The 25,290-nt window shown below is 44.5% G+C and overlaps 1 protein-coding gene and 1 long non-coding RNA gene across 15 annotated transcripts in view, besides 1 other annotated feature; one reads left to right on the top strand and one right to left on the bottom strand.

The window, feature by feature from the left end:
• Positions 1–25,290, bottom strand: part of GNAS (GNAS complex locus) — a 71,445-nt gene that overhangs the window by 22,147 nt on the left and 24,008 nt on the right. Inside the window, exon 1 of one of the 14 annotated variants that reach the window (NR_132273.1) lies at positions 228–633. The exons of the other annotated variants lie outside the window; for them this stretch is intronic. The gene's annotated coding sequence lies outside the window, so the exon portion shown is untranslated. Of the gene's footprint in view, positions 1–227; positions 634–25,290 lie in introns of those variants that run through there. 14 annotated transcript variants of the gene reach the window in all.
• LOC101927932 (uncharacterized) lies at positions 236–25,290 on the top strand. Its single transcript, NR_126334.1, has 5 exons — positions 236–272; positions 6,017–6,129; positions 7,248–7,310; positions 21,474–21,560; positions 24,908–25,290. It is a non-coding gene; the product is annotated as an uncharacterized LOC101927932 (long non-coding RNA).
• Positions 288–507: an enhancer, noted in NCBI's record as "active region_18179". NCBI's record gives its function as "activates an Ori minimal core promoter by ATAC-STARR-seq in GM12878 lymphoblastoid cells {active_cell/tissue: GM12878}" and the evidence as "EXISTENCE:reporter gene assay evidence [ECO:0000049][PMID:35858748]".

Here is a 25,290-nt window from a genome sequence, read left to right as displayed (position 1 = left end):
CAAATGGGCCGCCGCGCACCCTGGGGGTGCAGGCCGGTGCCGGGACCGCGCGGGCGTGGGCCGGGGGCGCGGGGGCCGCGATGGCGGGGGGCGCGGGCGCGCCCAAGGCGGTGGGCGCTCAACCCCGCCTCCCAGACCTGCCTCCCAATTTTCGGTGAGTGGTGTAGCCCTGGGCGGCGTGCAAAGTGTGCGACGGCGGCGCTTACCCCTGCTGTGCGCCTCCTTACCTCCAGCCACCCACCCCGCCCTCCCAGCGGCGCGCGCCCGCCGAGGTAGGTGTCAGAGAGCCGAATTCGAATTATTTGCGACGCCCGGACGGAGTTTCGTATCTTCGGACGAGAAAAGTGCGATGGGAGTGCAAAGCCTCCCCTGCTCGAAGCAGCAGGCGCGCCGGTGTCACGGGAGCCGAGGAGCGGTGGCCGTGGCTGTGGAGTCGGTGCTCGAGGCGTCCTCCCAGGTGGGAGAGGTGGCGGCCTTGCCTGGGCGCCCTGGGGGCTCTGGAACAGAGGGAAAAGTAGTTTACGGAACGTGAACTTGTTTGAGGGTTCTTTCAAAACTCTCAAGTGTCCCGCCGCACACTAGGATATAGCAGTGCACGGGATTAGGAGCAGGGTTACTAAATTTTCAAGCAGTTGACCCCAGCCCGCCTTTCCTGGGACCTTGGTTAGGTCATCTGCTGCCACCATGGTGTCTGCTGGGATACGGTTTATTCATTCAATAAATGTTTGGTGCCTGCCAGTTCCGCGGCTCACCATGTGCCCAGGTGAGCCGAGGCGGCCAGGTAATCAGGCTAAGACGTGAGCAGTGTCTTGGATGGGACACAGGCCTACGTCCCGGAAAGCCCAGATATGCAAAGTCCACAAACTGTCTTCCAACTTTTTCTTTGACTTCTTAACAGAGCCCATGAAACTTAAGATGTTTGATGGAGAAGGAGAAAAAAGAAAAGTCTACCTATAAATGGAAACACATTTAACAGTCCCCAGGGGTATGGGGCGGCTGATACCACCAGAGGCCTTGAGCAAACTTGTATCATTTTAAGTTAGCTTTGAAAATAAAAAGACACTGTTAGCCATTCAACCGGATGACTGAAATTCCCCCCTTTTCCCCAGTTTGCTCCACTTCGAGTAAGAAAAGGTGTGACAGATGAAGATGCCACATATTATTTTTCTTGGCCCCTTCAGGTACACTGCTGCCCCCATTGTACAAGGCCTCTTTTTTATGAATCTGAAAAGACAACAGAGGGCGATTCAAAGTCACCAAACAACACTTGGAATTAAGAACAGGAAGCGCAGCCTAGACACCGTCCTGCCCTGGGCTGCTGCAGACCCCTGACTTTCTTGAACTTGGCTGAAAAGTTGGGGCCAGGTTTTTGTCACACTCCTGATCATGGATGGCCTCTCTTCCACACAAAAATACACCTTATTTTGAAAATGCTCAAAGGAACTATCCTAGGTTGATGCTTTTCACCTAACCAAAGATGCATAAAAATATTGTGCAGATACACCTGAATGTGCTCATAGGAGAACTCAGCAGTAAGGCCTCAGAATCGATGATTCCTAGGCTGCCTGTACTAGTGATAGTGAGGCTCACTACCATCCACCACCTAAATTAGAACCGCTTGATGACACAGCACAGGTTCTATATCTTTAGATGGTAAATTAAAAATTCCTGGCTGAATTTGATTGATTGTCATTTTTAAAAATTGTTAAAGACTTGTAAGAGGGAAGAATAGGCCAGACATTTTTGTTATGCTCCATTTGTTCAAAAGCATCTTCCTTCCTGCTTCTACTGTGGCAAAGCACAGATACATTGTCTTTAAGAGGTACAAGGTAAATAGTAACAAATACAACCTAGATACTTATGCCAGGAGCTACAAAGTTATACAATGAATATAATGAAGAGCCTCCTTATTTGGAAATCTCTGAGCTCCATTACCACCTTCCCCTTTTAGATAAACATCACACCTGAACTTTAAAAGGAGTGAAACTGCCCCATGTCATATACTAACATGCGTCCTAGGCAAGGCACAATTGGGACTATTGTCCTAGAAATGGGTAACGCAAGATCAGGCTTTACTCCTTTCAGCTCTCAATCTATGAGGCCACTCTTCAAAACAAAAATTTTTTAAGTGTAGGTTTCACCTATATTTTATTATGACTAACTACTGATGGATAAATAAAGCATTCACTTTGTAAATAAATGACAGCAGGTGGAATCATGGGTTTACAGGTAAGCAAATGACACCCAGAGTGCTGAAACACAAGCTGGTTTGTGGTCAGCTAGGCTGTCTGTTTTCACTCCACACAAAGTGAAAGAAGAGATTTTACTGAGCTTTTGGCCTCAAATTTGACCTCTTGAGGCCCTAAAAGTTGTGATTTTTTTTTTTCAAGTCTTTTAGTTTTGGAGGCTACCATGTGTGACCTTTTCATATGAGTTAGTAATTTAATTGATCATTACTGTTTTAAGTACCTAGTTTATGCTTTGAAAGTGGGGCAATCTATTGGCATAACTCTTGGAACAGTCCAGATGAGAGAGCTTTCCAATGGAAGGGGCCCCTCGTCTGGCTCAGGAAGAGAAGGGAGTTATGGAGATTTCAGGGAGGGACAAAGGGCAGAATATCTTGGGTATAAAATGCCCAAGGAAAGCACAGATCTCTGGCTCAGGAGACTTGCTTCATGCCCAAGCCAGCCAGTTGAGATCATAACACATCCCTAACCTAAAACACTAGGTCACCTAACGAAAAAACTTGTTTAAACAGATGGTGTCACACACTACATGGAGATATGGCCTCGAAACATTTCTTTCCAACATTCCATATTTGACAACAATGAACAACGTCCCACATCAGGGTTTGAATTCTGTGGTCTTGTCAGCTTCGTGGTGATAAAGGCAGTTTGTGTTCCTTGGCCCCTGGGTATCCTCCTTTCTGAGTAAGAATGCCTTGTCTACCTTTTGAAGCAGTGGACTTGCTACAGCTTAGAATCTTGAAAATACTGTTCTGCTTAATGCTGTCACTCAGTTTTTGGACAAGAATGTTATCCTTGGCCTTTCATTAGTTGGGGTCATTTTAAGTTGTCTTCCAAGAGCCCAGAGCAAATGTAATTATAATATTATTTTAATAGCCTAGGAAACAATAAATAGGTTTCCACTGAAACAGAAACTTTAGCTGTAAGGTTTTAATAATAGTATTTAGCACTTCCACAGTGTTTCCTGTCTTCAAAGCACGTTCTGCACTTTAATTAGCTAGAATGACTGAAACTGCTATTGCAAATGAATATCAAAGCCTATGTCATGCAGATGATGAAAGCAGGAATTGTAAAAAGCATTTCCTAGTCTCAGTTAATCCTTGTAAGAAGGCTCTATTACTTTAGACCATAAAAGTTCTTAGAAATCGAATGTAGTGATTATCTAGGACATTTTTTTTTCTTGTCATATTCACTAGTTAGTAACTCCAACCATAAAGTAACCCTAAACTTGTATTCAAAACTAAACATGATATAAAACTTCATTTCAGAAGACTTGAAGTCAATTACTGAAGAATTAACTACATGGCCATATGACATTTTCCTATTTATTATCCATCAACTCATTTTAAAATGATCTGTTTTTAATTCAGAACATACTCTAATTCAAACAGAATGTGGACGTACATTGGCCAGTGTATTTGGACCCAATTTCTTGAGCCAGTGGCTTTGAGATGCTGTTCAAACATCTACTTAAAAGCATGGCACATAATATGAGGGCAAAGAGGACGTTTTGCAGCCCTTCTTGATCTTTCCTGACTCTCTGATGGGGAGGCACCATCTGTGAGAGAGGCTTCCTGGTCTCTGTGGACAGACGCCCAATTCCCCAGGCCATCAGTGCCTTTCTCACCACATCCCCATGAGCCCCAGCGTGGGCAGGAATGGACTTTTAACAAAACCACCATCTACCTCAAGAAGGGGGAAGCTAACAAAAAGAGATGACATGTATTACTTTGTTCCTTTTAGAAGCCTAAATGATATGATGCACATGTTACCCTTCATTGAAGATTCTAGGTGGACACACAACTTGGATATCAACAGGGAGCAGAAAACAAACCCACTAGCAGGACCAAAAGGCAGACCCATCAGCAGAACACAGGCGGCAGCTTCCACAAGTAACTCCAAAACTGAAAGTCAAATCCAGGAGAAGACTGAGGAAGCTCCATTTTCTTTGAGGTACATCAACATCAATAACAGATCAATGGACCCACTTAATGGAGCTCTTAATTGAGTAGAAAAAAATATTTAAGAGTTTTGCCGCTCTACGGCAGGAAAGCTAATTTTCCTAAACTGAAATATCCTTCACTTCCCTTGGGGAAAAATTTTCATGAGGACTAAGGTAATGGGAAAACCTGTTGCTTAGAACTTTTAACTTGGCCTTGAAGATGGAAACTCATCCAGGATGGAGAATAATGTAGGGAGACTAGTTAAAAATAGACATGGACCAGTTTACTTTCCTGCTTATTTACAAGATGCCTTATTTAAATGACACTTTGATCCAACATCTTACTAAACAAGTGACAACAGGAAAAAATAAGAGGCAGTTGGTGCACCTGGAGATGTGATATTGAGCCCAGTCAGGAGGCCTGAGGTTCTAATAAAATTTCCTTAGATAAAAGAAGCCCTTTATAATTGTTCTTATTTTAAAGATTTTAGGGTTTTTTTCATGGTATTCACTTCTTCAAATTTAGCTCCATAGAATTGGAGTTTAGACAGTTAAAAACACTGGATTAATCAGGCAATTCATTTTGTTTAGTTAAATGCTGCTTTGTGGACATATACAAATGAAACGACTGCTAAATAGAAGTTTTACATCTTCAGATTTTATCTACCTGCCAACCAAATGTAGGTGATCATTTTCAAACAGCCCTGCCGTTATGGTCTAGCCTCAGTTTGGGAAAACTGAGATTTAGACTGGGCCTCAGGTGTCATTCGCCTTCAGAGCTAAAACCCCCTCTCCAGTCCCACTTCCATCTGCTGTTGGTAAACCAGGAATTAAGCAATTAACGTGACATAATTAGTCACACATTTAATTCATCTAGAAATGTAGATACCTTTTCATCGTTTTGTGTTTGCCCACACGTTTTAGTTGAAATTGAAAAATGTGTAATTACCGCTTAGCTCCACCTATTTCCCTGGCTTTTATTTTGAGGGGGGAACTAACCATCGGGGCACAGTCTGCACAGCTCCCAATGAGGAGGGCTGCCCCCTCTTTTCGTACAGGCTCTAACTCTCCTTCCCAAGGCCACTGCAGCCTTCCTCTGCTTGATTTCCATGTAGCCTCCAGTTGGTTGAAATTCAGCATTTGCTGGGGAGCTCAGGGCTATGCCCTCTGCTCTCCCACTCAGCAGTTTATTGAGGGCTTGGCAGTGTGCACAGAACTCTCACTGGCCTGTCAGGAGCCCACTCAACAGCAGAGCCCAGATGGCACTGTGTCTTTCTAAGGTCCTTGCTGACCACTGGAAGTTATGAGAAGGGGAAAATTATTCAGCCCAAGCGGCAAGCGTTTGCAACCAGTCTGGGGATCAGATGAAAAGGAGATTTTTTATGAGCTACAGACCTCAGCTCTACCCACAGCCACGTCCCAGGGTCTCTGTCACGCCGCCCAATACTGGGAAGGCTGCCTCTGCCTGCTTTCTTGAACATTCCTGTTTTTCGGTTGCCTTAGTCTCTACTACCTTCTCAGATTACGGCTCCTTTTGTGCTAATTACACCGAAAAAATTGAAAGAATGTCGCTGACTTTACAAAGAACACAAAGCAGACTTGCTTAAAAAACTAAATATAGCCAGTTTCTTTCAGAAGGCAGACAGACTCGGCCTTCCAATGATTTGTACTATGCAGATTAATTGCAGATGGCCAATTCATTTATTAGGACCCAAATGACAGAAGGGCTCAGCTATCGGCAGGACAGATTAAAAATGTGTGTTGCTTTTGGGGGCCATTTACATAAAATGAGAAGGTCTGATTAATGACGAACTTTTTTTTTTCCCAGCACTTAATTGTAAATTAAGATTTGCTGATGATGATGGGCTAATTTAAGCTACCGTGGAAAGAGGGAAGAAATGGAAGCTGCTGATCGTAGGAAGCAGTACCTGTACTGCGCAGGTAAAAATATAAATGAAACGAAAGAAGAAAATCTAACTTCTCATTCTGGAAGGCAGTGGCTGCCACAGATCAAGAGGATATTGTTTTGCAGCCCCTCTTCTCCATTATGTAAGAAATGGCCATTATGTAAGAAAGACAGACTTGGGAAGGGGGTATTATCTCTGCTAGCCAAGCAAATTATAGATTACTCCCCACCTCCACCCCACCACCATGAAATCCTGAAAGAGTTAATAGGTGAACAGTAGCAGCTTGGAATGATTTACTTTTTTTCTAAGGAACATTAAATACTGAATTGCTCATGCTGAAATAACGCTACAGCTGTGATCCATGGGGCTGAGTTTTGGACACTGGCTCGAGTGACAGGTGTACTCGTTGTTTGCCCAGCTCGGCTGAAATTGTGATGCCTAACTCAAATTTTTTCCCAATTAACTGGTGAGGATTCTGGAGCCAGCCAGGAAAGGGCCTTTTGCCACAAGCACGGAAGACATGCGTGCTCAGCCTTCAACAAAAATGTCAGCCTTAGGGGAGAATGGAGCCGTTGCTCCCTGATAATAAAAACAAAAAAATGAGGCCGGGCGCGGTGGCTCACGCCAGCACTTTGGGAGGCCGAGGCAGGCGGATCACGAGGTCAGGAGATCGAGACCATGGTGAAACCCCGTCTCTACTAAAAATACAAAAAAATTAGCCGGGCGCAGTGGCGGGCGCCTGTAGTCCCAGCTACTCGGGAGGCTGAGGCGGGAGAATGGCGTGAACCCGGGAGGCGGAGCTTGCAGTGAGCCGAGATCGCGCCACTGCACTCCAGCCTGGGCGACAAACCCAGACTCCGTCTCAAAACAAAACAAAACAAACACAAACAAACAAAAAAGAAAATGGAGATGGACCTGCAATGTCTAGAAAGGTAGGGAAAAGAGACAATCTAACTGGGACAAAGCCCTTCTAGGTTCTAAAGCAAACAGGTTTGTCCTACAATTCAGCTCTTGGAGGATTTTAGGGATTGAAGCAAGTCCAGGATTCTAGGAAATGTGTCACCAAAATTGGTATTATTAGAGAAAGTGGCACAAAGCTACAAGTGCAGAGTCTGATCTGCAACATGCTAATTACATCTATTTTTATCCCAGGGTTGCAGTGACCTAACACCAAGAAATAAAAACTCTGGAAAACTAGCCCTTCACATATGGAAGGTATGATTACCCCCGGGTATGGGAGCCCCTGGGAGAACTTTCACTGGGTCCATGGGTTTAACCTGAGGTGAGAAAGCAGCAGTCACCCAGGAAGGTGGTTGACTTTCAAGAGCACTTGGCAACAGTGAGGGAAGGCACATGGGGAGTTGCGGGATGATGTCAGCATGTAGTAAGAGGGGAACTCTGAAATGTCCAAGGCCAGCCCAAGCAAACGGCGCTATCTCCACGTGGTGCCCTGGTCTGGAGAGGGAAGGAAGAAGGCTAGGCTATGTTTTGCCAAGCCAAGACTTATCACAGAGGAAGCTTTCCTCAATCCCTTCCACTGGTAGCAAAGGCCCTGGATCCCTGTCTTCTGCCAAGATGGTGCCAAATAGCTCAACCATACAAAGGAAATGGATATAAAACTTAATTGGGACCCAGAGACATCTAATCTCTAAGTTAAAGCACCACTCCTTTTACTCATAACCATTGGAGGCATCCCAAAGTCTAGAAAAGCCGAAATGACCCTCAATTCATATTCTGGTGTTATTTAACCCACGCCTCTGGGAGGCGCTCAAGAACAGGATAATTTAATGTCATTCTCAGCCTGAAAAGTTCCTTAGTTTTCTTTTAATTAAATCAGTAATTATTTTAAATGCATCATTTCAACAAGATACCATAAGTTAGTTGAATGAATGCATGTAAAACCAAAATGTTGACTGGCATAATCCCCAAATCGAATTAATATTTTAATCTTAGGTATAACATACTTTATATTTCATACCTGGCACGTTCTTAAATGTGTTAAATGTGTTTTCCACAACTTGGCATAACTATACATCCACTCAGTTTATTGGGTGGGGAGGCAGAGAAGAGAACTTTGTTTAAAAACAAAACAAAACAGAACAAAAAACTATGACTAAAGGATAGAACTCTACAGCAGACATTTAGTTTCTACAATTGATGCCAAAGGTAGAAGAGATTTTGAGAGGAAAAAAAAAAATAGATGGATAATTTCTAAAACATGTAAAGCAAAACAGCAAATATGCAAATGCAAGGGAAAAAATACACAACTAGCAGCATGAAAACCCCAGGGAAACAAACAAGAACATCATTGTAATTGATAGTAATTGAACCCCTGCTTAACCTTCCTCCCAATACCTGATAATTCTGTGAAATCACCCAGCTGTCACGCTTGTCCTTTTAGAAACATGACATTGATTTGTCTAGCAAAGACCCATCATTAGAATTCTGAGGTCTGCTTAATGGGGCCACTAATAAATCTAAGTCATCAATTCTTGACCTTTTGTTTCCTGAAATTCTCGGTATGTGGTAAACTGCTGAAAACACATTTTCAAGGTCTGTGACTGTAACATGAAAAATAAAGGATCAAGGCTGCGCTTTGAAGGTCTGATCATATCTGGGCTCTGCCCTGCCTGCACCCCCGAGGGAAAATAAGTAAGATGGATTCGGAACAGCATCTGGGGGTCATATCAATACCCTCTTTTGGGCTGAGCTATTTGCAAATAAAAATGGACTGTGTAAGACTGAACTACAAAGGGAGATGTGCCAAGGAGCCATTGCCCCTTCTTCTGCCTCTCCATGTTCCCTTCTTCCCCCATCTGCCTGGCTTTTTACTGCACTGAGAGATCAGGAAAAATTCCAGCCAAGAGAGTCTAAACTGGCTATGCACACGAGGAAAAAGAGAGAGAGAGAGATTATCTAGTCTCAGTTTTGGTGACTTTGAAATAAAAGGTTTGGGTTGGGGAGGGTCAGCTTTTTTTTCAAGGAACAGAATCATGGAAATTTTTTCTTTTTCTGTAAAAGCGAAATGCTTCTCAACCTTATTTTTTGCTGGCTGGATTGAGCTGGTTGTAACCTAAGACAAAATGTGGGCAGGTGCCTTCAGCTTCCTCTAAATTCTAAGATGGCTGCAGGCACCAGATTCTGACAGTGATGTTGCTGAGAGTCTAGCCATAAAGATATCTTTCCACACGGTTCTCTCTCCACGTCTGCCTAGAAGGACTAGCCTGCTGCTTCATTTCCCCCCTCCTCTGCAGCCGATTTCAGATGGCTGCAGCAGAGAAAGCGAGACCCCCACACCTTGTTTGTGTGTACCCTTCCTTCCGCACCCCTCTGAGTGCATTTGGGCTGTGTTGGGGTAACATCAGGACAGGTGGTTGGCTGAGCTGATCCTCTCAAATATTCAGGCAAACTGGTTGTTTATAGACAAAACATCCAGATGCTTTTTCACGATTGAACTTTTGACCAAATTGATTGTATGCTTTGGTGTCAAGAAGACAAAAACCCAAGTCAAAAAGGTCCCCAGAACAGGACATCTGCAGGCAATGAATAGTAGGAAGAATTACATATTTCTAGCAGTGAAAAATGTGAGTTTTTTAGATTGTGCTAAATGACTCGATATTGACCAGAGCAAAGCTACAAGTGAAAGAATGGATCTTTTTAAGGTTATATTGTTCCCATTTATTTGGCTTTGTGCTGCCAGAAAGTGGCTTGGAGGCTTGCTTTTTAGTGCTCTGTAAAATGTAAATGGTCTAAATTAAGAAGCTATCTAATCTCAAACAATATTAATTGTGACATGAAAAATGAGACCAATTCTTCCGACGTTACAATCACCACCACCTCACATTAACTGATCACCTCACTGTGTTTCTCAAAAGCCTGCATATTTTCCTTTTCCAAAGTGCCTATTTTTAAGAGGAGACAAAAATCCTCAAATACTTTACTTATTCTGATGCTGAAAATGTGGTCTCCTGAAGTGGGCTTCCTTTGGCCTCCAGGCTCTGCAAACCTCTACATCTGATTTGTCTCCCTCCCCCCCCCACCCGCACCCCCACCACCACCGCTGCCTCTGCATTAAAACTCTTTCTAAAATAAAACCACTAAGCAGCCACGCGGTCATAAGCCAGGATGCTGCTCCTGCATCTCCCTCCTTCCAGACAGAACTGCCGGACCCTAATGTTGCTTTCCAGAAGGAATAGGGGGAAAATGCATTTTCACATATTTTTTAAGTGTTTTTCCCTAAATGGGCCCATTAAAATCAGCCAGATCACTGTTCCTCCATCTCTGTAGCAGGCAGAATCACCACGCATGGAGATAGGAGCAAATTTGTATTTCCAGTTGGCTCTGATGGGGAGATTGCAGTTGTTCTAGGGAAAGGCGATCTCTATCCCTGCAGTACTGCCTCACAATTTCAAGACCACTGCCTCCTCCCATAAGATTCTGCAGATGTTGCACTTTGCTTGTTAAACCTCTTGCTAAATGTAAGAAGTAAAGTTGTTTTACTTGTAAATGTCCGTAATTCACCTACTGCAAAGCCCTAAGTCCTTGCTGTTTCATTACCAGCTGCCCATTAATAACCATCAAATTAGAAGTGTCTCTAGCAGCATGACAATTTAGTGAGGGGAATAAGAACAGAAAATCACAAATTGTTCAGAAAAGTTGCTGCATAGCAGGCCTCCTGGGGCCGGGGCCCGATGCCCCTTGGTGTTTAGTTCAAGGCCATGGGGCTCTCTTGGGTGACATCACTTCTAACATAGATACTGTGTAATTCAGTTACACAAAAGCAGCCCAGACAAGCAGGCTCACATCATCTCTTGTGCTCTGCGTAAGTCTGCACCAGAGGCTCTCAACACAGCCTGCACTTCCTGTTGCATGCCAGGAAAGGGCCCTAAAACCAAGGAGGGAGGTGAAAGGAAACACAAAATAATGCACCTTCTTTGTTTTTGTTTTTTTTCCGCCCTCTCTGCTCCCTTCATCTCTAAGGACTCCACAGCTAACCTGGACTCATTTTGTTACTTCCCATTCCCAGGAAGAAAGGCTTTTTCCAGCTGTGAGAGTCTAGGGTTCACTTATATCTCTTTCTAAACACTAGCAGCCCAGAATTCTCAGGCCACTTTTGGGCATTGTGGCAACACAATAGGTGCCTCCTGTGGACCCCATGCCTCCAATCAGAGCAGGGATTACCGGCAAGGCCGGGAGGTGGGAAGTCAGTGACAGCGCCGTTCTCTCGTTCTTGCTTGAGCTGACTGTAGCCTCTTAACATCTGGTGCTCCAACTCTTTCCCCATTCCTAAAACACGGCTGGCTTCTGCCCATCAGAGCATCAGTCCTGGGCTTCCTGGGCTCTGTCCCTTTATCCTGCTCTGAAGCCCTTAAGTGTCCATTTCAACCTCACACCTGACTTAGCACCTGACTTTAAAGAAAAACATCCTTTTCAACAATAAGGTATGTGACCACTTGAAACCCCTCCAAGGCTTTCAAAGCTGGTGGAGCAGAGCACAACTAGGAGAACCAGCCCTGGGGTTAAAATCTCACGGAAGGAAAGGGGGAAGCTAGCATGTAGCAGGTGGCTCCTTTGGGCCATCCTATTCACCATTTGCCCCTGGCTGACTAGTCCTGGGCCCCCACAGAATAGGCCACTGGTGCACAGGCTCAGGGAAGGGCTTCTCTCCCCCTCTCCAACTGCATCTGTCATTTGGCAGTGACAGCCGCTTTGCACTCTGTACCTTGGCAGCTCACATCTCTTTCAGAGCCCCCTCCTTTCCCCCCACCACGAGCCTCCTCTGTAAAAACCGGAAAAAAAAAATCTTGTTCTTTCATCATAATTAAAGTGCTGTCAGGGAAAATGGCATGGCTGAGTTTTGCTGCTGTTGAAATGACCCTCCTCCTCCACTCCTCTTCGCTTCTCTCATTTGCTAAAGTGGTCCTTTCTCTGCCTGAAATCAGGCCCTTTGGTGATGGAAATTTTAGCTTAAAGCAGAGTTCTAAGCAGAATCCTAACCCTGCGAGGGTGGGGAGAAAATCAATGTTTTGAGCTGGTGTCTGTTTGCAGCGAGGTGCTGGTGAGGCCATTTTCATCAGGAGGAACGGTGGTGGTGGCTACTTCTGGGCTTTAGATCCACGCAAGGTCTCCTAAATACAAGTCACTGTCATGGTACACAATTTAGCAAAACTTGGAGGCTGATTTTCCCCGTTGACTTAGCTAAGGGTCAGGAGGAAGCTGTTTAGAAGTACAGAGGTTCTGCATCTGGGAGGGTAAAATCCAAACGCCTCTCATGCTCAGAGGGAAAGCATGCCTGCATGTTTACTATCACTGCTGGCCTACGTGCTTGTGTGTCTGAAATAAAACTGTAACTTATATAATTCGATGCTCTCCTCCTCACTGAGTGTTACTGAGTCATGCTTGGGTGGGGGGGTACTTCTTGTGCGTTGTGGACACCGCATCATGTAGGGGTCTTTTTAACACCTCATATCATTTTGTGACAATGTCATTCTAATCCTGTTAGCCATTACAGAACTTTCTGAAAATAATTTCAGGTGGGTGACATTAAAAAAATAAAAACCCGCCCCTCTGAGTGACTTTGAACTCTGCCATTAGAATCCATGACATCTATTCAAATACACATTATGGGAGGGACTCATAATATTCATCCCAGCTGTCACCTACTTACATTATAAGGAAACTCGAGTGTTAGGAGCTTTCAAAATTAGTTTAATTTCCTTTTCCTAAAGATCACGCATCTCAGAAAGGCCCCTTTTAACTTACACTGGGGAACTTAATTGGCAGGCTTTTGGGTTTCTATAAGAGTATTGCTAATATCTGGCAAGTCAAGATGGCAATCTGGGCCGCCCTCAATGGAATCATTAGCTGTTAATACACCTCTGAGTAACTCTAAGCTAAGGTGTGAAATCAACCCAAGCGCCACTAAGCCCCAGTTTTTCCTAAGGATATAACCGCAGGACAGTTGGGGGGGCTGTTTATGTAACATACAAACAACAAGGTTGTTTTGCTGCTGGCTTATTTGCTGGCCTGGACTCCTGCCTCCTTGCTCCTTCCCCCATGCCCTTCACATTATATTTCTTTTTTAAAGAAAGTAAAGCAACCGTATAGTACTCAAGCCTCTTTTATTTCCTGACTGTTGTATGTGTCATAGCCGTGGACGCTGGAGAAAAACATGGGGCTTGTCATTATCGACCGGAGCCGGAATGAGTCAGGCACCCTGAAGGCTACGATCTGAACCTGACTGCCACTGAATGGGGTGGGGGGGGCACCCCGCTGCCAGGCAGAATAACACTAAGCACTATGCTGCTACTTGGAGATCTGGTGTGAGGGGTCCACGTGTCCTGGGGTCACAGTGGAAGAAAGTCAACTCATTGCTTAGAGGGCTGCTAGGCAGCCATAGACTTGGGTTGGGAAAACAGGGTATGGGGCTGGAACTAGAAGTGGGGAGGGGGTGACTGCCCAAATGCTCTCCCCTGTTCCCCCCAATGCCTCTTGTTAGAATGCTACTCTTAGGAACCCCACTATTAAAAATGTGACTCTCTGGGCTTTTGGGCCTCTAAAGCTCTTTATGAAAATGCACATGTCCCTTACGAGTAGCCTCATCAGCCTTTGCCAGCTAATGGGATTAACTGAAGAGAACACAGCCACCTGCAGGGAGGTAAGGAGGCCTGGGGCCAAATCACTTTTCAGATGTGCCATGTGCTCATCCACGATCACCCAGAACACAAAATTCAGGCATTCTTGTTTCGGTGGCAATTTTTAAGAAGCCACAACTTAATAATTCTATAAATCTCAATCATATTCACTATGGAGCAAAGTTCACCTGAGAGTTCTTTCAGTTCAGTCATCCAGACAACCTTCCCTTGTCTTATTTTTAACATAAAAAATAGCTAGCAATCTGTATTACACAGATATTTTCAAAAAAACATAAAGGTCACTATCATATGCTGTGATAGTTACAGAGACCTATCCATAAGACATATTATTTCAAGGGTAATAAATAGATAATTTAAAAGTATTTGTGAAAGGAAAGTTGGAAATTAAATTCTGGAAATTAAAATGTGTTTTTCATTCCACAATGGCTGGAAATTAATTATAGTATTTGAATATAGACTATCTCTATCTGCATTAGGGAACAAAACAAAAGAGACCCAAAGCTCAGGATCTAAGATGGAGGACTGGAACTAAGATAGAGGGCAGGCCAGGAACTAAGATGGAAGGCAGGCCAGCAGCAAAGATAGAGGGCAGGCCAGGAGCAAAGATAGAAGGCAGGCCAGGAGCTAAGATGGAGGGCAGGCCAGGAGCTAAGATAGAAGGCAGGCCAGAAGCTAAGATGGAGGGCAGGCCAGGAGCTAAGATGTAAGGCTAGAGCTAAGACGGGGGCCAGCCCAAGAGCTAAGATGGAGGGTTGGAGCTAAGATGGAGGATGAAAGCACTAAGGTGAAAGCACTCTGTAGTACATAAGGATCTGGCTGCAAACTACACTTTCCCATCTAACTCTCAAAACACTAATCCTAGACATAGAAGATTTCTAAGGTTAGGTGGGAAATATTGGGCCCATCTTCCTAAGAGAATTTTAGTCTTGAAAGATCCTGGAAGGCATAGTTTGGCTCCAGAGAGTGCACAATGAAAGAAAGAAGTTGGCAAAAGGCAGTTCTCAGCACCACTCTTGGGCCAGGCCTCTGCAGCCCCTCCTGGAAGCAAGACTGCCTCCTCAGCATGGCCAGTAACCCTCTGGGCTGTGCCTCCTGGAGAAAGGCCTCATTCAGTCCCATGACTGACAAGTTATCAACAGGGAGGTCTACCCTATCAACAGGGAGGTCTATCCTGTGACTAGCAAAGGTTCAGTCACTGCTGTTTGTGCAGAAATTTTCAGCCTCAGAGTGGCATGAAAATCTGAATGGCTGTGCCTGTCAAATGTTGCTTGTTTTGACCCCAGCAGATCCTTCTAGGTTTTCTGCAGTTTAATTATCAGCACTCATGACACTTTTAGGTAACCTCTGATTTGGTGTGCTCAACTGGGCTGGAAGACTCTTAGCAGGTTGTTGAAGTCTTTTGGTTGACAATCTTTCCATCTTTCCTTATTTATTCCCTGTGTAATCGCTTAGCAGAGACTGCCCACTCTTGTTAACTTCCTGGGTTTGTTTTGATTCCATCAAGGGAGTAGCAGTGTCTCATACTTTTGTCTTCCCCACGGGGAAGGGCACATATTTGGCACTCAATACATGTATATCGAATGAATGAACAAATGAAAATGCCCGAATTGAGGCAAACTCACCGACCAGGCAAGGATTCGTCCTTCTAAGGGGCGTGGCAGACACGTGAGCAGCTACTGCAAGCTTAGAGATGCTACTAGACAGACAAAAAGGAGTAAGGCTATTTCGACCTTCAAGTTAACCAAAAAATTAGGAAATAACTTATCAGTGAGAAAAAATGGGTACATGTGCTAGTCCCTGTGTACCAAGGACTGGGCAGGATTCCATGCTTTTGCCAAGTTGGACATAACCTACAGATGAGTAAACCTCAGACCTGCCAATAGTCAAACATTTGAAAAATTAATTTGTGACAACTGTTTTCACTTGGAACCATGATGGATTTAACTGTTTTCTTAAATTAGGCATGTCATTTTATGCTAAATTTCCACTAAACATTTCCCAACAACATTTCTTTCTTCCTGAAGAACCACCGTGACCCCTAACTCCCTGACAATTCCAAAATGTCACAGAAGGCCCATTTTATAAACATATTTGTGAATGAGTTCCTTTTCATAGCTATTAGATCAGCAATTATTTTCCCCAACACTGGCCCCTAATCAGCCATTTTGCTAAGTCTCAAAGCAACACAAATTTAGCTCAAATCAATTAGCAACACATTTCTAACTCTTGGTGCTTGGGGAGAGTCTGAACTCCTCCTGATGGGATGAGGCTAACGCCTTGAGAATGAACTGAGAGGCAGGTCAGCCCAGGAAGCCACTTCTGCCTTTGTGGTTGTGCTTTACAAGAAGGCCAAAATGTGGGAGAATGGGGTCCAACCACAACAAATTAGGATGAAATTTTGATTTTATTTTTTTTCTCTTGAGCTGATGAATGAAGCCCAGGACATAGAAAGGCAGCTGACGGAATATTTTCCCCACCAATGCCAGGAAGCTGAAGGTCTGCTCTTGTGATTTGCATCTGGCTGTGATGTTCTCTCTCTGCCCCCCACCCTCACCCCAGCACAGAGCAATCAACCTTGTCCCTGTTCTCCTCTGGCTGAATTCCCCCCTTTTCTCTTCCCCTCACCTTTCCTTGCTGAACAGAATTGTCTTCCCTCTCTAATGAACATAACCCAAGAGAATAAAACTTGTTTTTCAAAGTGGGGAGGGGGAATGGGAGGAAGAAAGGAAGGAAGGGAGGAAGGAAGGAAAAAGAAAAAAAGAAAACAATGCCTACAGTGGGTCTGGCTGGAACCCAATTCTCAAGGACATCGATTTGTAAAATTCAAAGGTTTCCCCAACATCAAAGATCTATACTTAACTTATAGGATGCTCACTTTTAACCTTAGGGTTTGCTTTGTTTTGTTCTGGATAATTATCAAATTTAAAAATTTATGATTTTTTTTTTTAAAGAACTAGAAGGTTCTCTGTGTGCCAGACTTTCTAAAACAAAACAAAACCACTTAGTGGGATAAGGCATGTGAAAACACTTGTGCTCCATGAAGTGTGCTACATGCAGTGTGTTCCTAACTTTAAAATAAAACAAAAATTGGACCATCGTTTTAGAATCAGGAGGTAAACACTTGGGAAAGCAATAAGAGGTGAGAGGGCAGTGGTCAGAGCTCAGAGGGTGGTGGTGGCCCCCGTCTTGGCACACAAGAGAGGCCTCTGTCCCAGCTCTTCTGGTTGGCACTTGAACGAACAAGGGACCTCATGGGGCAGTGAGATGGGGAGGAGAGGATGCCCCAGCCTGGATTGTGAACCTGCCTCTCCTCCCCGTACTCCTGTCCGGTCTAGCCAGCCTGGCCCCTCAGCTGTGCCAGCCACACCCTCCTTGGCAGCGCTCCACCCCCTGCCTGGTAGAAGGATAATCACTTGCAACCTGATCCTCTCCTCTGTTCTGGACTAGAAGTTCCTAGAGGGCAAGGACCCCATTTGGTGCTTAGAGCTAAACTTGGCAAAGGCACTCTTTTCTTTTTTCTTTTCTTCTCTTTTTTCTTTTCCTTTCTTTTCTTTTCTCCCCCTCCCTCCTCCCTCCCTTCCTTCTTCCTTCCTTCTCTCTTTCCTTTCCCTCTTTTTTCCTCCTCTCTCTCCCTTTTAATTTTTTTGGTTTTTTTTTTGTTGTTTGTTTTTTTTTTTTTTTTCGACGGAGTATCATTCTTGTTGCCCAGGATGGAGTGCAATGGCACAATCTCGGCTCACTGCAAACCCTGCCTCCCGGGTTCAAGCGATTCTCCTGTCTCAGCCTCCCGAGTAGCTAGAATTACAGGCATGCGCCACCATGCCCAGCTAATTTTGTATTTTTAGTAGAGATGATGTTTCTCCATGTTAGTCAGGCTGGTCTTGAACTCCTGACCTCAGGTGATCTGCCCACCTCGGCCTCCCAAAGTGCTGGGATTACAGGCGTGAACCACTGCTCCCTTTCAAATTTTTAAATTTAATCTCTATTTACTTCTTTCCTTCCGTTTGCACCTTAATTTCTCTTTGTCTCTCTCTTTCAACAATAAACAACTGGCCAAAGGGAATTGGTTTTAATTTCTGAGTCGTTCACAAGGACCCCGGGATTTCAAAAGATCAGAGAAGGAAAAACAAAGGGAGGGAACCTCAATTCTTTCCCTGCTCTTCCCCGCTAGCGAAAGGACTGAACAAGTGAAAGAACTGTGGAAGGACGATGGCGAACATGGAAGAGCTCTAAGGAAACTGTCCTGTAGTGTGTGTTTGTGGAGCAGGGGGATTAATATGAAACTGCACACCATGATTCATGCCCTCTCAAAACTATGCATACACCTGAGTAAAGAACAGGGGGAGATAATGATCAGTAAAATCACAGCAGGGTGAGGGTAGGCTGGGGGGATTTCCTGTAATATTATGATGTCATTTTAACAATAAATACAACTAGAAGAAAAGGCGCCCGGCCAAGTGTGGGATGTGGGTTCCATGTCATGTGGGAAGCGAAAGTGGGCAGTTGGGCCCCAGAAGGGAGAGTTCTAAGAGGGTGTGGTTCCCTCTAAGGGAGGGATTTGTGCGTCTGGCGCAGGGAGAAGACTGACCAAGAAAGCCACCAAATAAACAGACCAAACCCCCAACCACCCCTCCCCTGAGAAAAGCACAGAATGGCTGTATTGGTGTTAAAAGTAAGGTCCCCGGGACCCAAGACAGGATGAGAGCCCCAACCAAAACACCCTGGAAACATGGGGCTTTTTTTCCATTTGGGCATCCTACATTTCATCTAGAGAATTCCAAGATCCCAATTTCTGAGAGCAGACCCAGCCATTCTGAGCTCTCTGCTGACCTCTGGTGGGGAGGAGCTCCCATGGCCCAGGAAAGGTTGGAAAGAGGCAGCCACCTGCCCTGGCCTCCTCTGTTCCCCACGGTCTACAGGGTCACCTGCCCTCAGCCACCACTCAGGGCTAGAAGTCAGGGACTGTGAGGAGGAGAAAGTGCAAGAAAAGCTTTAAAGAATCCTCAGAGGAATATGGGCATAAGAGAATCATGTTGTAGGAAAGTTATCAAGTAAAAGAAAATTTTTTAAATAGATGGGTGGGAGGGACGTTTACCTTAAATCAACCCTGTGTATTCAGTTTCTTTAACTTTACAATCTTAAGAGAGAGGGGAGAAAGAATGTGTATATGAATGGGGTATGGAGGGTAAATTTGATCAGAAAGAAATAAATTCCCATTGGAGGACTTTGTAGGTCCTTGTGTGGGAGGCCTGTGTGGCCCTTCTCAAATAGATGACCTCATCATTTTCCAGCTGCTGGGTGGGGTGGTGCAGGGGGCAGAAATGGAAGGGAATGGCAACGGTACCTGTTCTTGGAACCAAGGAATTTGACCCAGACACCATCGGACCCAGCTTCCCCTCCCGTGGAAACGAGGCCTAAAGAAGCCAGAAGTGGCCTGCCCCAAGGCAGTGCTGAGCCTGAGATGGACAGTAGGGGTCCCATCCTTAGAGAGGACACCTTCGCTAGTGAGAATGCCCCAGTGTGCCGTGAAGCACTGAGAAGTGGAGAGGGGTTGAGGAGGGGAAGAACTTAAAACTAGCCCTGAGGTCTCAGAGATCCTGAAAAACACAATGATACTTGCATGAATGGAAAAGCAATGATGTATCCCTAGCAAGTCCCTTCTCTGTAAACAATCATTGACCATGCACCTCAAATTCTACTTCATCTCTCCATATTGTCTTAAATGCTAACTTCTCCAGGTAGGCCCCTTAGATTTCCCTGGTGGAAACTGGAGCTCTGCTCACCTATGAACCTCTTTTCTAGCCCTTGATTGAGGTGTGAAAGAGTTTACCACCAAACTCTGCTCCCACAAAGATTCTCCCGGTGATTGGGACCCAGAAACTATTAATTATTTACCAAAGGACAACAGAGGGCCCTACCATTTGATTTCCTATACAATCTGCCATTTTGGAACAGACATTTAAAAAAATTTGTGTTGGATAGGGGGTTGGCATACCTCATCTATTGAAACTTTATAAGATAATTAAATAAGTTTTAAAGTGAGAAAGACATCCCTCCTGTTTTTTCAATTGAGAAAAACTAGAACCAGGGATTTGTCCAAGATCTCAGGACCAGTTCCCAGGAGAACCGGGGCACCAGGGCGGTGAATCTGGAGGTTACCTGATCGTGTGCTTTCCTGCCTTGGCTAAGATCTTCAGATCCACTCGTTAAAAGTTGCCGGGATTTGTCCTTAGATGTCAATTGCTCAACTGAAACCTTTTAAAAACATTCCTCAGCCTTAGGGGCAGGGGCCGTGTCCTTGGGAAGGAGGATTTAGGGAGGGGGATGCGGGTTCTGCCTTAGGCGCCGGCGCAAGGGTGAATTTTTGAAAGCCAGGCTGTCAATCGTAAAAGCCGAGCGCCATCTGCCAGCCGGTTCTGAGTAGCCTTGCTTTCTTTCATTGTTTCCACTTCCCAGCCCTGAATAATTTGTGTTCTCATTTATTTCCCTCCAAAAAAAAGGTAGTTCCTGCTCAGAAAGTCCCCCCAAAATAAGAACCCCATTTAAAAATAAATCTTAGAAGAGAGTGAGAGAGCGAGAAAACAAAGGAAAAGTGAGAAAGAAATTCGAGAACTCCTTAGGAGGCTGCTTTCCGTTCTCCCCTTTCTGGATTGTGAAACTTCTGAGAAAATGAGAGATGAGCCCCCTTTCTTCAACTAAGGCAGCCCTAATGGTCTTGCTTCTTCTTTCTGACCTCTCACCTTCTTGTGGCGAGCAGATGCCCCACTTTGAGCCTGCCTTAACATCTGAAATCAGACCCTAACTCTGGGGAATCAAGATTGCAGGGCCAGAAAAAAAAAAAAAGCTGGCTGCGGTGGTTCACGCCTGTAATCCCAGCACTTTGGGAGGCCAAGGTGGGCGGATCATCTGAAGTCAGGAGTTGGAGACCAGCCTGGCTAACATGGTGAAACCCCATCTCTACTAAAAAGACAAATATTGGCAGGGCACGGTGGCTCACGCCTGTAATCCCAGCACTTTGGGAGGCTGAGGCAGGGGGATCACCTGAGATCGGGAGTTTGAGACCAGCCTGACCAACATGGAGAACCCCATCACTACTAAAAATACATAATTAGCTATGTGTGGTGGCGTGCGCCTGTAGTACCAGCTACTCAGGAAGCTGAGGCAGGAGAATTGCTTGAACCTGGGAGGTGGAGGTTGCAGTGAGCCAAGATCATGCCACTTCACTCCAGCCTGGGTGACAGAGCAAGACTCCATCTCAAAAAAAAAAAAAAAAGAAAGAAAGAAACAGGAGAGGTGTCCACTATCTGCTATATGTTAGCTTAAGTCTGAGGCTGAGATGCCTGCAAGCCTTTTGGATTCATCCCTGGCACCTGAGTTCCAAGTCTCAATCTCAAGCCTCCTTTCTCAAGCTGTCCCTGTCCTGCCCCCATCTTGTGTCTTGACTTTCTCATACATAAAGCTGAACACAGAGATACCCTCTGCTTCTTCCCTGACAACTCATCAAATTTAAGGTGCTCTCCTGACCATGGCAGGACCCCAGGAATACTTGGCAGAATCATTCCTAAATGGGGCCTTGTCAATACTTTCAAGAATCAAACTTTAGCCTTTTCCCGATGTCAGCTTGGCAAATTCATGGAATCCTAGAATAAAGTTCTATAATCAACCAAGGTCCCAGGAATGAGAACCCCCAACTTCTAACCCAGTGCTGTTTGTACTATTCTAGGACCCTCCCAAAGAGCTGGAGCTCCTCTGCCCACTGCCTCCCCCATCAGATCAGACCTATGGTAGAAGACAGCAAGGAGTAAACGCTGTAAGCTCACAAACACCAAACTGCCCTAGGATGAACGATTTCGTAAGAGCGCTCCAGAATGACTGGATCCCATCAGGAACATTTCCAAAGACTCCCACTCAGAAAGGGGAGCCCTCCTGGGAGTGTCCATCCTAAAACCCACACTGGCCATTTGTTTTGCAAAACAAAATGATCTAATGTGCTTCCTTTTAGCAGCTAAAAATGCTTAATTATAAATAGCTAGAAGTTTTCTGGCAATCCAACTTTTAAAAATTTTCCCCTAACGTCTGGCATTTGTTTTTGGGTTCTGCCCTGAGTCTTCTAAGCATTTGCTTGGAAAGATGTTGCACTTTCGCAGGCAAAATTTCAAAATCAACATTCAAGAAGCTTGCCTTTGGTAATTTCTAGGATTCTGCAGTAAGGAGGTTTTATAGTTAGGGGACACTTTGCTTAGCTGAACTTGTGACATAAAAAGCTAGTCTTCAGACAAGTTTTGATTTCAAATGATACTTTAAATTTTACATGTCTGATATATAATTTATCAAACTACCAATATATTTCTACACCTTCCCCTAAAGAAATCCTGATAGTAAAAGCTAAAGTGTTGAAATACACCTGCATGTCTGGAGTGGAGAGTGGTCATTGTCTATCTATTTATTTATTTTTCTGGCCTTTGCAATGAAGTCAGAGGTCATAAATTTGAAACTCCCTAGGGAAAAAAAAAAAAGAAAAAAATCTCCTTTGTTTGAAAAAATTAGATCCCTAATGAATCTGTTTCAGTTGTTACAATCAGATGTTTCAATTTGAAAACTTGATGAGATGAATTCAGATGTTACAATCTGAAAACTCTATAGAAAGACCAAATGGGGGCAAAAATGTAAATGTGTTATGTCAAAATATAACAAAGAAGTTATAAAGTCCCCTTCCATAATGGTTACTTGAGAGAGGCTGGTCAGATGCAAATTAGGGGCTTAGACCACTGTTTAAAATTAAGATCACAATTTAGTCCTATTATGATTATTCCAAGAAATAATGGTTACAGAGTCTGCCCTAGGATGGAGAAGGGGGTGTCCACTTTATCAGAGACCAAGCGCAAGACTCTTGACCAGGAAATGTCCTTGGATTGTTACTTCTATTGGCTTAGCTATGTATTATTCCTGAGAGATCTTATGCTCTTTCTCAGTCCAGTCATTCAGAGCCGTTCCTTCCACTGCCCCTCTCTCCTGCAATCTAACTGTCTGTCTTGAAAGATCAGTTGCTGAAAGTTTATAGGTCACCTCCATGCAGTAGGCTGGTTCTCTATGGGCCTGAGACTAGGGAGACCCAGCAACTGGGGCCCACACACTGCTTGCTGGTGTGTACACATTATCAGTTAAAGGCTCTGCTGTTGTTTTGGGGAACACATATAAAGTGGGGCTCCTGCCACCCTAGAGCTGATACGTTGTCAGCAGCCATCTGACAGATGGGTCCTTCGTGTCTTGGCATCCTTCTCTACAATGCAGAGTGAATTAATTGAGTGTGCACCAGTCAGAGAGAGAATTCCTAGCCTGCTACAGGAAAAGGCATCCTTAAGAAACCCTAAGTGGAAGATGTGATCATTTAAGGGTAAAGGCTATTTAAGCATTGATTTAGCCTAGCTATGGGACTGACTTGGTTAATCAAAGTCAGCTCACTATTTACTTCCCTGAAATAATTTCCTTTTCTATTCTAGTTAGGGTCATCTGGGTCACTTTCTTCTCTGAGATTTCTAGAAATTACTTCTGCAGGGTTGGACACGGTGGCTCATGCCTGTAATCCCAGCTACTAGGAGGCTGAGACAGGAGAGTCACTTGAACTCAGGAGGCAGAGGTTGCAGTCATCTGAGATCATGCCATTGCACTCCAGCCTGGGCGACAAGAGTGAAACTCCATCTCAAAAAAAAAAGTAACTGCAGTGGACAAACTTTTCTCTGGAAAAAAAAAAGTATTTTATATTATAGATGATATATATTATATATGTATATATTATATGATATATCATATTATATATATTTTGTATTATATATGATATATATATAATATAAAATATATGTGTATATATATATTTTTTGAGATGGAGTTTTGCTCTTGTTGCCCAGGCTGGAGTGCAATGGTGCCATCTTGGCTCACTGCAACCTCTGCCTCCCGGGTTCAAGCGATTCTCCTGCCTCAGCCTCCTGAGTAGCTGGGATTATAGGTGCCCGCCACCACGCCCGGCTAATTTTTTGTATTCTCAGTAAAGATGGGGTTTCACCACGTGGCCAGGCTGGTCTGGAACTCTTGACCTCAGGTGATCTGCCCACCTTGGCCTCCCAAAGTGCTAGGATTACAGGCGTGAGCCACCGCGCCCAGCCCCAATATATATATTTTTAAGATACGCAAGTTACAGTATGTATGATCTTGAACTGTCCCCAGAATTTGATACTGATGATGTTAGGGCAGTAGTTATCAATGAGGGGTGACATTTGGCAATGACTAGAAACAGTTTTGGTTGTCAGAGAGAGAGAGAGAGAGTGTGCGTGCGTGTGTGTTTGTGTGTGTGTGTGTGTGTGTGTGTGTGTCTGGTAGGTAGGGGTCAGAGATGCTGCTACACATCCCACAGTGCATAGGACAACCACCCCATGAAAAAATGTCAATAAAGCCACTTGGAGGACCCCTCTGTTAGACTGAGCCCCCCAAAATGCTTCTAAAATCCTGGCATATAGCTAACTAGGAGAAGTCACAGCGTAAAAGTAAAAAGCTGGTCTGGCTAAAGCTTTGGGGCCTATTTGAATCCAAGGTCTGTCCTGGGGTGGGGGCTGGCATTAAAAGTCAAGGGGGACCCTTCTTTGCCTTTGCCAGCCCTGGCCATCCCTCTCATTTTCACAGACACGTGCCACCTGTTTTCTGCCTTATACTGTCTCACCATCTAGTGGTCACCTGAAATATCAATTCACCTTCACCATCTTTGGGCCCTTCTAGAGCCAGTCATTTAAAAATTCCCATGTTGGGGGGCAGTGGGCAAAAGGAACCCCCTGAATGACGTCAATGATTTAATTAATAAGTGAATTCAGCATCTTGAAGGCCCTAGTAGAGCCACAGAAAGAGCAGCTATAAGGAATTAGGATGGACACTTCCTAAGATTTCAAAAGCCCATGAAGGCCCCCCCAAAAAAATCGAGGGGCTGATTATAAATAAGGTCTGTCTTTTGAAAAGAGAAACCCACAGGGCTTTCTGCTTAAATCCCTCGGACACAGATGTTACATAACCATAGATTTTAAAAAAGGTATCTATTTAAAAGGATGTGTTCAAGTGGTCTCAGTAATGTAAGTACCTATATACTTCCTAAATAACACTATCTATTCTTGACAGGTTTCCTGTTTTCATTTTTTTCAACTGGACCACCAGCTACTACAACCCTAGAAAAATGGAGGCACAGATATGTGGGTCCCAGAGCCCTGGGGGAGCTGGAATGGATACTCGCTAACACACGGGACACGAGATTCTCTTTCCTTTGGAAGGGTCCTGTCCATGGCCCTTCTTGGGTTCTGGACTGTCCTACAATGCCTGACTTTAGTTTCTGTGGATCATGATAAGCATTATTCATTTTTTCCCCCTCAAATATCCCACAGCTTCAAACTTACCTGAATGCAGGTTCCCTGTAAAAATACCATCATGTAATTTGCACATTAGCAATCAGTTTGATGAATGGCAAAATCGTTCAAATGGAAAAGAGGAGAGAGATAGTGTGGTCT

Source organism: Homo sapiens, chromosome 20 (assembly GCF_000001405.40).
Source record: "Homo sapiens chromosome 20, GRCh38.p14 Primary Assembly".
In the NCBI taxonomy this organism is placed as follows: Eukaryota; Metazoa; Chordata; class Mammalia; order Primates; family Hominidae; genus Homo; species Homo sapiens.
The sequence above is the reverse complement of the archived record's forward strand: the minus strand, read 5'-3'. Positions and strand labels throughout refer to the sequence as shown.